This window comes from Homo sapiens, chromosome 1 (genome assembly GCF_000001405.40).
Source record: "Homo sapiens chromosome 1, GRCh38.p14 Primary Assembly".
Taxonomy (NCBI): Eukaryota; Metazoa; Chordata; class Mammalia; order Primates; family Hominidae; genus Homo; species Homo sapiens.
The window spans coordinates 87,032,901-87,046,931 of NC_000001.11; the positions used below are offsets into that span (position 1 = coordinate 87,032,901).

A 14,031-nucleotide genomic window follows, 5' to 3' on the forward strand; every position below is an offset into this window, starting at 1 on the left:
ACCATGTGTGATTACTGTCCTTTGCAAAAAATAGTTTTCTTCCCTTTCATCTGACTCATTCTTAGTCTTTGGTTTTTCCTAATTCATTTAGTGTGTTGTAAACCCCATCTTCCAATCATGATGAACCTCCAGATTAAAAAATAATAATGATAAATGCCATTGTTTAAATGTTTTAATAAATTGTAGAACCTGAGATTATATATATTTATGAATTGTTATGGATATTTTCAAAATATACATAAGTAGAATAGTAAAATATATCCCTACGTATTTATCACCAGGCTACAGAAATTACTGACCCATGTCTAATCTTTTTCCATCTGTACCTTTCCCCACTGCAGTATATTTTAGACATGATTCCATTAATTCATAAATATTCCTCAAGGGAATTATCAAAACATAGTTGGTGAACTAGAATGGATGAGCTCCAAGAACCCCATTAGGTAATGAGGAATCTTTGCTAGAAAGAAATACGGAATTTCTGTTAGAGTTCAAAGACCATGTCACATAATAACTACATTACTTAGATTCTGTGCAGTGTATGAAATGCCTTCACAGCAGCTCCATAGTAAGAACCTGAAATTATCTTCTTTCTCTAATTCTTCTATATAAATTTTTAAAGTAGTGTTTTTTTGTTTTTTTGTTTGTTTGTTTGTTTTTTAAACTGAGTTTCACTCTTGTCACCCAGGCTGGAGTGCAATGGCAAGATCTTAGCTCACTGCAACCTCCGCCTTCCGGGTTCAAGCAATTCTCCTGCTTCAGCCTCCCCAGTAGTTGGATTACAGGCGCCTGCCACCACGTCCAGCTGATTTTTGTATTTTTAGTAGAGACAGGGTTTTCACTATGTTGGCCAGACTGGTCTCAAACTCCTGACCTCAGGTGATCCACCAGCCTCGGCCTCCCAGAGTGCTGGGATTACAGGCGTGAGCCACCGCCCCCGGCCTTAAAGTGGTAAATTTTTTAGTTTGCATAATACTTTGACTTTTGTTGACTTAAAATTCCTTATAGTGAATAACAGTATACCACCACAGTGAGCAATGATGAGCTTAATGAGGGACAGGAATGGAAAAATTACAGTTTTACTGGTTTAGAAGTTCAGACACAGTAGCTAACATATTGTCTAATGAGTAATATTTTGCAAATATTGAGGATTATTAATTTTTAAATATAAAGATGTAGTAATAGTTCTTTGGTAAGTCTAAAAAATAAGTAGACCATCTACCCTTTTATTTGTTTCAAAGTGTCAAAACAAAAATAGAATCAATGGTGAGAATGGCTTTGATGAAATACCAGTGAGGAAGGTCACAGTAAATTATTATTTCATGACAAACAAAAATGTAAATTCTTTTACATTGCAAATATAATATTACAAGAGAATAGCAAATTTACAGTATACACTTGGAGAATCATTCTAAAGCAGTTGAAGTCTCCCCAACACCACACTTCAATTTTTTGTGATCTGTGGTCTCCAGAGTAACTATTATAAGTGGTTTTCCCAGATTCTGGAGGGGAGAAAATAAATTAACAATGGATTGATAACTTTATTGTTCAAGCTATAGTAATTCTTTTCACTGTGAGATTTTACATAATTCACTAAAATTACCCTTGTTTTGTAAATATGGAACCATTCAACGAACTACTTTTGAAAATGCAAATATTGTACTCTAGCTAGTACAATGAGCTCTAGGAAATCAGAATCACATTTTGAAAGAATCTTGAGGTTTCAAAGCCTTTCAAATTCTCTCAGTTGAGAAACTGTTACAGTGTAAAGTATATGTACGAAGCTTTCCCTTTTAAAAGACAATAAAAAATAGTTTTGAATTGAAGAGTAATAGGATTAGTAATCTTTATAAAATTAAAGAGCCAGATATGCCCATTGTTTTCAGCTAAATAATGGTTCCTTAAATATGTCCATATCTTAATCCCCAGAACCTGTGATTATGTCACTTTATATGGCAAAAAGGACTTTGTAGGTGTGATTAAATTAAGGATCTTGAGATGGGGCGATTATCCTGGATTATGTAGGTAGTCTCAATGTAATTTCAAGTATCCTTATAAGAGGGAGGCAAGAGAATCAGAGTCCTAAAGAAATGTAATGACAGAAGCAGGAGTCTTAGTCAGTGAGAGAGAGATTTTAAGATGCTGTGCAGCTGGAGGATGGAGGCTCAGTCCATGAGCCAAGGAATGAATGCAGGTGGCTCCCAGGAGCTAGAAAAGGATTTTAGGGAATGTATTTTCTTCTAGATCCTCCAGAAGGAACATAACCTAGCTGACACCTTGATTTTAGGACTTCTGACCTTTAGAACTCTTAAGATAATAAATTTGTTTTCCTATCAGCTAGTCATTTTGTCGTCATTTGTTACAGCAGCAGTAGGAACTAATTAACCTATGAACAATTTTTAACCTATCGGTATTGTAAGTAGTACTTCTAATTATTCTTTTAAATATATCTTTCTTTGAAAAACTTATTCTTCTTTAGGATTCAGACTTTTCATGTACTCAGGGAGAATAAATGAGTCCTGTTCTAAGTTACTTTTTTCTCTTGGAGATATCACATAGTTGAGTTCATGGCCTAGAAGATTTTCTGATGTTTGTACATGCCCATGGGAGAATGTGTTATCATAATAATTTTTAGTATGCAGCCTCTTGACTTGATTTTTCACTTATAGTGTAGACCATAATATTTGTCAATTTCTTATGCATCTACTGTGTATCCAGCATTGATATAGACATCTTCTGTACATAATACATTCCACAATAACCTTGCAAGTTTGGTATTATTTTTATTTTATAAGAAAGTATCCTAAGTATGACCCATTAGTTTGAAATAAATTAGTATTTGTTGTGTAAATCTTTACCTCCCAGTATTGTTGTTTAAGAATTAAAACAGGTTGTTCAGAGAAGACGAAAGACTTTTTTTTTTTTTTAATTATTACTATACTCTAAGTTCTGGGATACATGTGCAAAACCTGCAGGTTTGTTACGTTAAGTATACACGTGCCATGGTGGTTTGCTGCATCCATCAACCCATCATCTACAATAGGTATTTCTCCTAATGCTATCCCTTTTCTAGTCTTCCACCCCCTGACAGGCCCCGATGTGTGATGTTCCCCTCCCTGTGTCCATGTGTTCTCATTGTTCAACTCCCACTTATGAGTGAAAACATTGGTTTTCTGTTCTTGTTAGTTTGCTGAGAATGGTTTCCAGCTTCATCCATGTCCCTGCAAAAGACATGAATTCATCCTGTTTTATGGCCACATCATGGTGTATATGTGCCACAGTTTCTTTATCCAGTCTATCATTGATGGGCATTTGGGTTGGTTCCAAGTCTTTGCTATTGTGAGCAGTGCTGCAGTAAACATACATGTGCATGTGTCTTTATAGCACATGATTTATAATCCGTTGGGTATATACCCAGTAATGGGATTGCTGGGTCAAATGGTATTTCTGGGTCTAGATCCTTGAGGAATTGCCACACTGGGAGACCAAAAGACTTTAAAGCACTGTTAATTTAATTGGGAAGATAAGAAATACTATTCATATTATAGTTGAGATTTGAGATGGGCTTTGAAGGATGAATAGGTTTTTTGACAGCAATTGGAGGGAGGATATTCCAAGTGAAATGAATACTGAGCAAAGACTCAAAGATGAGAAAACATGGACTAGGTTATAGGAATGTAACAGTTTGGCTAGTATATTTGTGTAGGGAAAAAATAAAAGATATGCTGGAATGAAGTGAAAAGGTGTTTAGATATTTCCAATTTTGTAGAATTTTATTTTTAATTCAGTTGGTGTACTAATTGTAAAATTACCTTGACCAAACTGATATCAGGATGACAATGTCAACATTGCACACTCTTTGAAGACAGTTCTCATTTGCTGAATGAATGAATGAATGCTGACCCACACATTTTCAAGGAAAACCTTGGTTATGTTCAATACATGTATTTTAAAACTGAGGGAAGTATGTCCTTTCTGAGAGATTGTCATCAACATGGATAACTGAAAGGTTTTGATGCTTAAAAGGATAAGCTCCAAATATCTGGAACATTCACTTGCATATATCACTACATTTCCCAATAGTATTTGTTAAATTAAACCTTAGGTAATAAAGTGCTAGGGTTCTTTTTCCTGTTCTAACGAAGTGAATATCATAAATCAATTCATTTGTTTTGCTGATTTATCACATTCATGGGTGCTGACTTTTTTTTTTAATCTGCTCCCAACTTTTGCTTTATCGTCATTGAAATATGCTTTTCTTCTGGTGGTGAAAGTAGTATGTGAATGTTTAATATGTAATTCTATAATACTGTGAATTCTGCATATCTTGTTCTGTTTTGCTAAAAAAGTGAAAAAATATTTCCCTGTGATGTGAAACAGCCATTGAAGTTTGGTGAGTTTATGAGTTGGATAACTATTATAATTACTCAGTGTATCTTGCTGTTGAAAAGCATAAGTTAAAATGTTTTCATTTATTCTACTTGGTTGTAGTTATAAAATTATATGGCCCAATAAATCTGTACAATAAATGGCCTTTTAATATATATATTTTAATTTTTAGAAATTAAAAGATTACAGAAAAGTCCAAAGGTTATGTCAGAATTATCAAACATTAATATTTTTGCATATTTAGCTATCCTTCTAAAATTACATCAATAATATGTCTTTAAAAATAGAATATTTCAAATAAAGTTGAATTTTTTTTTTTTTTACCACCATCTCCAATTCTGATCCTCTGTCTTGTATAAAGTAACCTATTATAAATTGGGTATGTATGTTCCTAGTACTTTTTTGGTATTTTTACTCATTTGTGTAACCATACATTTTTAAATTTTTTATTTGAAGAGATGGTTATCATAGTGAATGTATTCTACAACTTGCATTTTTTCACTCAATAATTCTGATATCTAGCCATCTTGATACTTCCAGACGTAGTTCATTCTTTTAACTGCTATGTAGCATATATCTATAATATATCTCTAACAGATTTTAGATTGTCTGCAGTTATGAGCAGTTCATCTGTGAACATTTTTCTTCATATTTTCTTATACATTCAAGCAAATGTTTTTCTAGTAGGTGCCTAGAAATAAAATTGCATGGCATATGACAGTGAAAATCTTTATATTGTTAATGATTAATGTACTTTAACCAATAGTTTTTTAGTCATAAATGACTGTAGACTCTTACTTAATATTATAGTTTTTAAAACTTGTCAAATTTTATTTAGTTAGGTCACAACCATCTGTTTTATCAAGGTGGATTTGGTCTGTTCTATGACAATATGCTGTGTTCTTAACAATCAGCAGTTATCTCATAATCTTATAACTACTGAGGAAAGCAGTGAAATAAATGGATGGATGCACAGATGGGCAAAGTCTATCACTACCACTGAAATAATTATTTTAAGTACATGCCATATTTAACTGTGTCAATACATTTTATTTTGAGTTTGGGGATGCCATCCTAGAAACTGAATATACATGTAAATAATTAAACTGTTGTATATTATTCCAACAAGTACATTTAGGGTACTGTTGTAAAACATTTTCAAAATTAAATGTCAAATGGAAATTCAAATTCAATAAAATTAAGGATTATAAAACTAAAGCTAAGCATGTTGTATGTAACAGAAGTTATTCTGGAAAGTCCTGCAAAAATTAGAATTTGCATTCATATTGTGAATTACTGTACTGCTTTAAAAAGGAACAAGGAAGGTATTTATGTTTTGATGTAGAAAGATCTTGAAGATCTATTTAAGTTACATAAAGGCAAGACAAAGCAAAGTACATATTGTCCTAATATTTGTGTAAAAATGAAGTATTTGTTTTAACTTACATATACGTGAAGTGATCTCTGAACCAAAAACTAATAATAGTGATTATGTGTTGTGAAGGTTGGGAATTGGGCAGATAGATACAGAACAAGAGAGAAACTAAAAAAAAAATGGATTCTGACAGAGAAACTTTTTACATACCTTTTTAAAAATACCTTTTCACATTTGAAGCTTTGAGTATATTGCCGTTTTTTTAAAAAAGTAATCTATAATTTTAATATTTCTATTGTATACAATTGAAAAGTATTTTTAAATTTCCCATGTATATGGAAAAAATAAATTAGTAAAAACAATCATGAGCCAAATGACAACTTTGGCTGAACCCTGTACTGATATGGAAGGTAATAATGATACGTGGGTTAGTAATAAAGCACCTCTCCTTTGGTAATTGTAAGGGTTCTAGTTTTCAAAATGGCAGTTCATGACTTTCCACAGCCTCTTCCTGTGGTGAATTTCTGGCCAGTTGGATGACAGAAATACAGGGCTTGCTAAAAGTTAAAGTATCTTGGCAGTTCTGGAAAGAGACCATCTAAACCACCAGCCAATGCTACCTCAGCAATATTACCAATAACCAGTTGTTCACTAAGAACCGGTCAGGGCGCGGTGTGGACCATAGGTATCTTTGCTATTCTGGACTGTTAGTTTGCTTCCTGATGTGCCTCTGCTTATCTTTTCTTCCTCTCAGTTTCATTGGGATCCTCAGCTATTGAGTTCTGTCCTGGTGCATTCCAGCCCCACTGCAAAAGAATAGGAATGAGCATCTAACACATCCATCTCTGAATGCAGAAGAGGTTGAAGTATAACAACCTTATTCATTATTATTACTTGCTTAATGAATTTCTGGATTTTTATTATCTGTCATTAAATATCCAGGACAGGTGTCATCCATTTATCCTTATATCAGTTCAGTAATCTATTCAGTGAATATCAGAACTGGGTGACATCCTGATTTTACCACTTACTGGCTCTGTGGCACTGGCTATGGTTTTATCCTCACAGAGCTTCAGTTGCTTCATCTTTAAAGTTTGACCAATAGTAACTAATTAAACAGGTAGGTGGAAGATACCATACGTAAAGTTTCTAGACTAGGTGCCAAAGCATAGGAGTCGCTCAAGAGATGGTAGCTGAAAAAGGAAGTTTCTTACAGTTTTTGATGGTGTATGGAGTGACAGTATTCAATGCAAGTAGTGTCTAATTTGTGTAGTCTAATTAGTGGCATTTTAAAATCCCATTGTAGGCTTTAAAAAAATCTGAGGGATTGAATGTTGTTCTTCTTACTATATTAGAAAAGAAGATTAAGAAGGAACAAAAGTAGTTTCCTTTTAATAGATCCATTAATGGAAAACAAGCAGATTTCTTTGGAATGAAAAATAATGGAAAGTTCATAGGCAAATGCTTGAAAAGCATTTTTCCCCACAGAGGACAGTTTAGAGATTTTAAGAAATAAGAGTCTCATGTTTGTGGAAAATTAGAAATAATACCTCCTTATTCTGATATAATTGAGCAAGAATTGAGGACTGAATTTCCATCTCTGTCTCCCCCTCCCCGCTCCCTGAACAGAGAGATTTTGCCTTTCAAGGTCTCAGTCTGAGGATTTTTGCTTGATATAGGACCTGTATTCTTTTCTCATTCTGTTACTGTGATATTTTTAGAAGTATCCATTTTCCTTCTAATATGCCCATTCTGCCCGTCTTTGAAGTACCTATATCTTTAAATGATGCCTGTATTCACCAGTCTGAAGACTCTTCTGACTGGGTTTTGCAGGGAGCTTGTGGTGCATGGGGCATGGGGCATTGACTCCGCCAAGGTGCTTTGCAGGCTAGGCATAACTTATCCAGGTGAGGACAGGTACTAGAAGGAAGTGAGAAGAATAATGTTCTGTGGCCCTTTCAGAACCTCAAGAATACCTTGGCAGATCCAAGCGTTCTGCTTATAGAATGTTAGCAGTAGTAGAGCATTATTTCTGTAATTAGGCACATAGGCAAGAGTTAAGTAAAAAGTCCGGAATATTAACCTTAAAAAGGAAGACTTGGTAGCACAGAATATCTGTGTCTCAGGGGGAAAAAAGCCAGTAGGCATGTTCTGTGACACCTCAAAAAACTGTAAAAGGTGGAAAGTAGTACAATTTCCAAGAATTAGTTAGCTCTTCAAGGAGAGTGAGTTCCCCACCATTGGTGTTACTGAAGGAAAAAGAAGGGCAACCACTTTTCAGGGTTATTGAAGGAATTTACCCATCAGATTCATTTTGATGTCAATAACCACTAAGCTCTCCTCTGTCTTAAAGATTAAATAATTTTTCAAATTAGATTCATTTTTTACCTTTTATCCATTGGACAGTTTTTACATCAGTGTTTTATTTAGCATCATTCTGATTGTTGTTTACTTTTTAAAGGGGAGAAGGAGAAAAGGGGAGAGGAAAGGAAGACCACATTAAATTCCCAAATAAAAGAAGCAATACAATCTGGGAAAAATAGCGAGACCTTGTCTCTACTAAAAAAAAAAAAAAACAAAAAAAAAAAAAGTGTGCACCTGTACTCCTAGCTACTCCAGAGGATGAGGTGGGAGGATTGCTTGAGCCAGGTTTTTGATGCTGCAGTGAGCTCTGATCATGCCACTGCACTCCAGTGTGGGTTACAGAATGAGATCCTGTCTCAAAAAGTATATATAAATTTAAAAAAAGAAGAAATAAATTAAATTTTAAAAATTAAATGTAAAATGTTATGAACCTTCCCCCGCCCTTAACAAAATTTTAAGTGTATAGGACATTATTGTTAACACAACTTTAAGCACAGTGTTGTACAGCAGACCTCTGGAACTTCATCTTGCATAACTGACACTTTATACACATTAACAGCAACTGCTTCCCCACCTCAGTTCCTGGCAACCATCATTCTACTTTCTGCATCTATGAGTTTGACTACTTTAGACACTTCATCAGTGGAGGCATGCAGTATTTGTCCTTCTGTGACTGGCTTATTTCACTTGGCATAATGTTCTCAAGGTTAATCTGTGTTGTTGCATACGATGGAATTTCATTCTTTTAAAAGGCTGAATAATATTTTACTGTGTGTATATCACACAGTAAATCCATTTTATCCATTCATCTGTTGATGGACATTAAAGTTGTTTTTACATATTGGCTGTTGTGTACAATGCTTCATTGTACATATGGGAGTGCCACTATCTCTTAAAGATTCTGACTTCAGTTCTTTTAAAAAATTAAACACAGAACTACCATATCCCAGAAGTGGGATTGGTAGATCATATGTTAGTTTTGTGTTTAATTTTTTTTAAAAGCATTTTCCTTATTATTGTTTGGATATGCATTTCCCTGATGGTTAGTGATGTCCAGCATCTTCCTATACCTGTTAGTCATTTGTGTGTCTTCTTTGGAGAAGTGTCAATTCAAGTCCTTTGCCCATTTTTTAATTGAGATATTTGGAGTTTTTTGCTATTGAGTTATAGCAGTTTCTTATATGTTACAGCTGTTAACCCCTTATCAGATATGTGGTTAGCAAATATATTCTCCGATCTTGTAGGTTGCCATTTCATTGTTTCCTTTGCTATGCAGAAACTTTTTAGTTTGATACAGTCATGCTCCTTGTCTGTTTTTTCTTCTTTTGACTGTGCTTTTGATGTCATAGCCAACAAATCGTTGCCAAGACCCATGTAATAAAAATTTCCCCCTATGTTCTAGGAATTTTACAGTTCTGGGTCCTTTGTTTCAGTCCTTAATCCATTTTTAGTTGGTATTGCTTTTTAAGGAAGCCATTATTTTAAAAATAAAAATGAAAAACCCATCTCCTTTTTATATATACCTCCTCTTGATATTTTTTGGATAGATATACCTTCACTGTGCTAACTAGAGAGAGGAAGTACTCTTTTGCAATGCCTGCGAGGCATAACTAAACATAAAGGCCCTTTTCTTTCAGAAAAAATTGACTTCCTGATGAAAAGATCCTGTATTATTTAGTGTTTCCAGAATATCAAGATGATAAATTATCACTGGAAATTATACATTTCCACAGTCATCATTGGATAGATTATAATTGGCGATATTTTGTAATTCTGTATGTCTGGGAATATGTTAACTGAAATACTTTGTAAAAAGTATAAGACTCATAGGAATTTACTTTTCTGACTTTTTGTTTACGAGCTTTACACCACATAAAATTAAGTTAAATGACTACATGCTTCCTATAAAGCATGTCTGAAACCCAGCCCTCTCTAATCATGGTAGCCATTTAAAGTGAAGCTGAAGAGGAGCCATGCTATTATTCTTCCTTTCCCCCAGCCGTTTCAAGATTAGATTTTGCCAGAGAAATAACAGACACATCTGGTATAGGAGACACTTATAACAAATCTTTCTATGTAGAGAACCGTTTTATTAATTGTGCCTTCTAATTCAAAATATACTACAAAGTTAAATAAATGTGATTAGAAAGGTTCTTTGTGATAATTTTAAGTACTGTTTGATTGGGAGATGGGCTGATGGAGAGGGGAAATAATCTAGATTTATTTCATCAGAATTAGTCCTACATTGATTATTCTGGGTAAAAAATAATAAATTATGTAAGTTTAAGAACTATTAAACTTTTAAGATTAACAATGTAGAATACAGGATCATTTTGTAGGTGGCTCTAAATTAAGCCTTTAGATTGAATCATTTTATGAGACCAAATAATCAGTTTAAAGTACCTTATGCTTTACCTGATTTAATAATCAACAAAACATTTTATTCTAAATTTATTGTAAAGCAAGATAGTAATTGGATTTTTTATCCCCAAGAATCAACTGCTGGAGGTATCTTGTTTACTATATTCATGTAGCCAGAAGTGAAAAGTAACTGAAGACTTTATTGTTACAGTCCTGTCTTATATTCTATGTATGTCTGCACCCTGCCTTAAGTGTGGTTGTTTGGAACCGAAATAACATCTTTCTTGTTGGAAAATATGGATGTATATGTCTTATGTGCATTAACAATGCTTCTGAAACATGACCTTACTAAATATATCAAGCCTTTCCATATATCAGCTTTAGTATTTATCAATAAATATATACAGGAAGCTATGAAATATATGTATAGAAATAAATATTTAATATTTAGTTGGGTGACTATATTTGTACCATATTTTGTGAGAATAAATTTTCTTTGGATTATAATAGTAATGTTTATTTTAGAAAATTTAGAAAAATGCTTTTGTATTTGAAGTCTCAGAGCAAGTAAGGTAAAATGCTGTAAAATTTATATAACCATTGAAATGTTAGGCTCACAACAAATCTTTGATAATCTATATTCAGTTCAGCAGGCCAAGACACTGGGGAGGAGAAAGGGTCTGTGGTAGTAAATACTAGCACTATTTAGTCACATAATTTTGAAATGCGGCATTATTTTTGTTATGTAGATCTAGAAAATAGGAAAATAAAAATCATTAAATAAATAGCAGTAACAGTACCGACATTTTTGGACATTACAGCTCTACCAGTTCTTAGCTTTCTAGTTGACACCATTACTATTTATTTATTTATTTAATTTTGTAACAAGAATGCAGATGCCATTTATTTGGTCCATAAGTATAGCCATTGAGTTTTACAAAACATCAACTATAAATAACCTGAAACTATAACAATACACAAAAATTGGCTTCATACACAGACATACCAGGCAGTACAAACTGAAAACGTGAGTAAATTAACATTGTTTTACATTAATATACATAGTGCCATTTAACATTTAAAAACAAGTTTCAATACATAGCATTTGATACTTCTTTGAATCTGTTTCAGTCAGAGTATGAAAATGGTTAGAGCTAGGCTAAAATTAATTTTTCTAGCCAAAAATAAAGGCATGATATTTATAACCAGGTATCAACTTAACCACAATATTTTGAAACTGTTAATGATACCTAAGGGTATTTACATTAAAAAGGCAACATGCATTGTGTTGTTTTATCTCATGACTGGTTATGCACATACTTTGTTCAAAGGGTTTTTAAAGCTATATTCCTACTTTCAGTATAGCATACTGCAGTGTGTCTAACAGTTCTAGCAAAATGAATGCTTTCAGAGGGAGCAGAATCATTTTCAAGTCACTGGTGTCCATTTTTTCCCCTTTGGAACAAAGGACATAACAAATAATCTGGTTCTGCCTAGATAAACTAAGTAGTAAGAGGGCTCTGTTTAGAGGCATTTCTGTTCAATCTAATGCTATGACATCATCCAGCTCTTCCTTCTGTTCTATACGTGACCTCTTTGCACTGAGATTCTCTTTCTCGTCTGATTTCCTCTTGCGGCTTCTCTCTTCTTCACTGACGTCAGCATTCTTTGAAGAATCTTCTTCATCCGAATCAACTGTGAGAACATCATCTTGCTCTTGAGCTGTGGAGGTGGAAGGCTGACCTCCATCATTACTGCCATTGGTTATGCTTTTGGCAGCATCTTCAGCTTGTTTTGGCCCCACTTTTTCTGGGGCATCACCAACACTTCAAATTCAACATCCTTTCCTAGGTCTTCACTATGAAGGATGTTGATCAATAAAGTATAGTCCTGGAGGAAGTAATCTGCTTGAAGCCAGCTGCAATTTCTCATTCCAAATTCTGACAACTTCTTGTGATTATTAGCTTCTGTCTCTCCCTTTTCAGAAGATATTAGGATTGTTCCTTTCCCATCTTCAATTTGGACATCTGGTGCTACCATAGCAAATTTTTGTTTCACTACCTTGTCTCGTAAGGTGAGAACAGTCACTTTATGGACATTCAGCCGTACAGTCACCTGGCTTGCTGGCACATATGTAACAATTGGGGTTGGGAGGATCCAGTGCACAAGGCACAAGAAACTTCTTTCTTGGATTTGCTTGTTTATTCAAAACAATTGTTCTGCAGTGGTCTATTTTTCCTGATAAGATCTTCAATCTTTCCAATACTGTCAACCCAGCAATCACTGCATTAGTAGTAGCAATAGCAGGAATAATATTCCCTGCCACTGATTTGATATCAAATCTACTCTTCATATTCATACTGAAAATATGCATCCTGAGGTTTGTAGCAGAGGTAACAAAATCCATTGCATATGGGTCATCCTTATCCCATGTGAGCTCAGCTCCATCCCCCTTTTCTGCTAAATGAACTCTCAGAGTCTCAGTGCTGTGAGCTCCTTAAGAACCTTGTGCTCACCGGCTTCTCCCACGTCGACCTGATTGATCTGGTTACTATTGATGTCAGCAACCTCAACAGTTTTTGTTTCAAAAGAAACATGTTGGAAGATCAAAGGCACAGGTTGCCAGGGAAAGTGCACTGCAGTTTTACCTGAAAGCTAATATGGTTGCCTACCATGACAGCATCATGAACCCTGACTATAATGTGGCATATTTTTGACAGTTTATATTGGTTATGAATGCTTTAGATAACAGAGCTGCCCAAAACCGTGTTAATAGAGTGTGCCTGGCAGCTGTTGTTCCTCTTATTGAAAGTGGAACTGCTGGGTATCTTGGACAAGTAACTACTATCAAAGAGGGTGTGACCAAGTGTTACGAATGTCATCCTAAGCCAACCCAGAGAACCTCTCCTGACTGTACAATTTGTAACACACCTTCAGAACCTATACATTGCATCTTTTGGGCAAAGTACTTAAGAAGTATCTCCTGACAGAGCTGACCCTGAAGCTGCCTGGGAACCAACAGAAGCCAAAGCCAGAGCTAGAACATTCTAATAAAGAAGGTGACATTAAACGTATTTCCACTAAGGAATGGGCTAAATCAACTGGATATAATCCAGTTAAACTTTTTACCAAGCTTTTTAAAGATGACATCAGGTATCTGTTGATAATGGACAAACTATGGCGGAAAAGGAAACCTCCAGTTCTGTTGGACTGGGCTGAAGTACAAAGTCAAGGAGAAGAAACGAATGCATCAGATCAACAGAATGAACCCCAGTTAGGCCTGAAAGACCGGCAGGTTCTAGATGTAAAAAGCTGTGCATGTCGATTTTATTTATTTTTGAGATGGAGTGTAGCTCTGTTGCCCAGGCTAGAGTGCAATGGTGCGATCTTGGCTCACTGCAACCTCCGCCTCCTGGGTTCAAGCAATTCTCCTGACTCCGCCTCCCAAGTAGCTGGGATTATAGGCACCCACCACGCCCAGCTGATTTTTGTATTTTTAGTAGAGACGGGCTTTCACCATATTGTCCAGGCTGGTCTCGAAC

The 14,031-nt window shown here is 34.8% G+C and overlaps 1 protein-coding gene and 2 pseudogenes across 2 annotated transcripts in view, besides 1 other annotated feature; 2 read left to right on the forward strand and 1 right to left on the reverse strand.

The window, feature by feature from the left end:
• Positions 1–14,031, forward strand: part of HS2ST1 (heparan sulfate 2-O-sulfotransferase 1) — a 195,348-nt gene that overhangs the window by 118,266 nt on the left and 63,051 nt on the right. The window lies entirely within an intron of this gene.
• Positions 11,834–12,977, reverse strand: LOC100421465 (ubiquitin like modifier activating enzyme 2 pseudogene; annotated as a pseudogene).
• Positions 12,137–12,236: an enhancer, noted in NCBI's record as "active region_1286". NCBI's record gives its function as "activates an Ori minimal core promoter by ATAC-STARR-seq in GM12878 lymphoblastoid cells {active_cell/tissue: GM12878}" and the evidence as "EXISTENCE:reporter gene assay evidence [ECO:0000049][PMID:35858748]".
• On the forward strand, positions 12,975–13,818 carry LOC100421468 (ubiquitin like modifier activating enzyme 2 pseudogene; annotated as a pseudogene).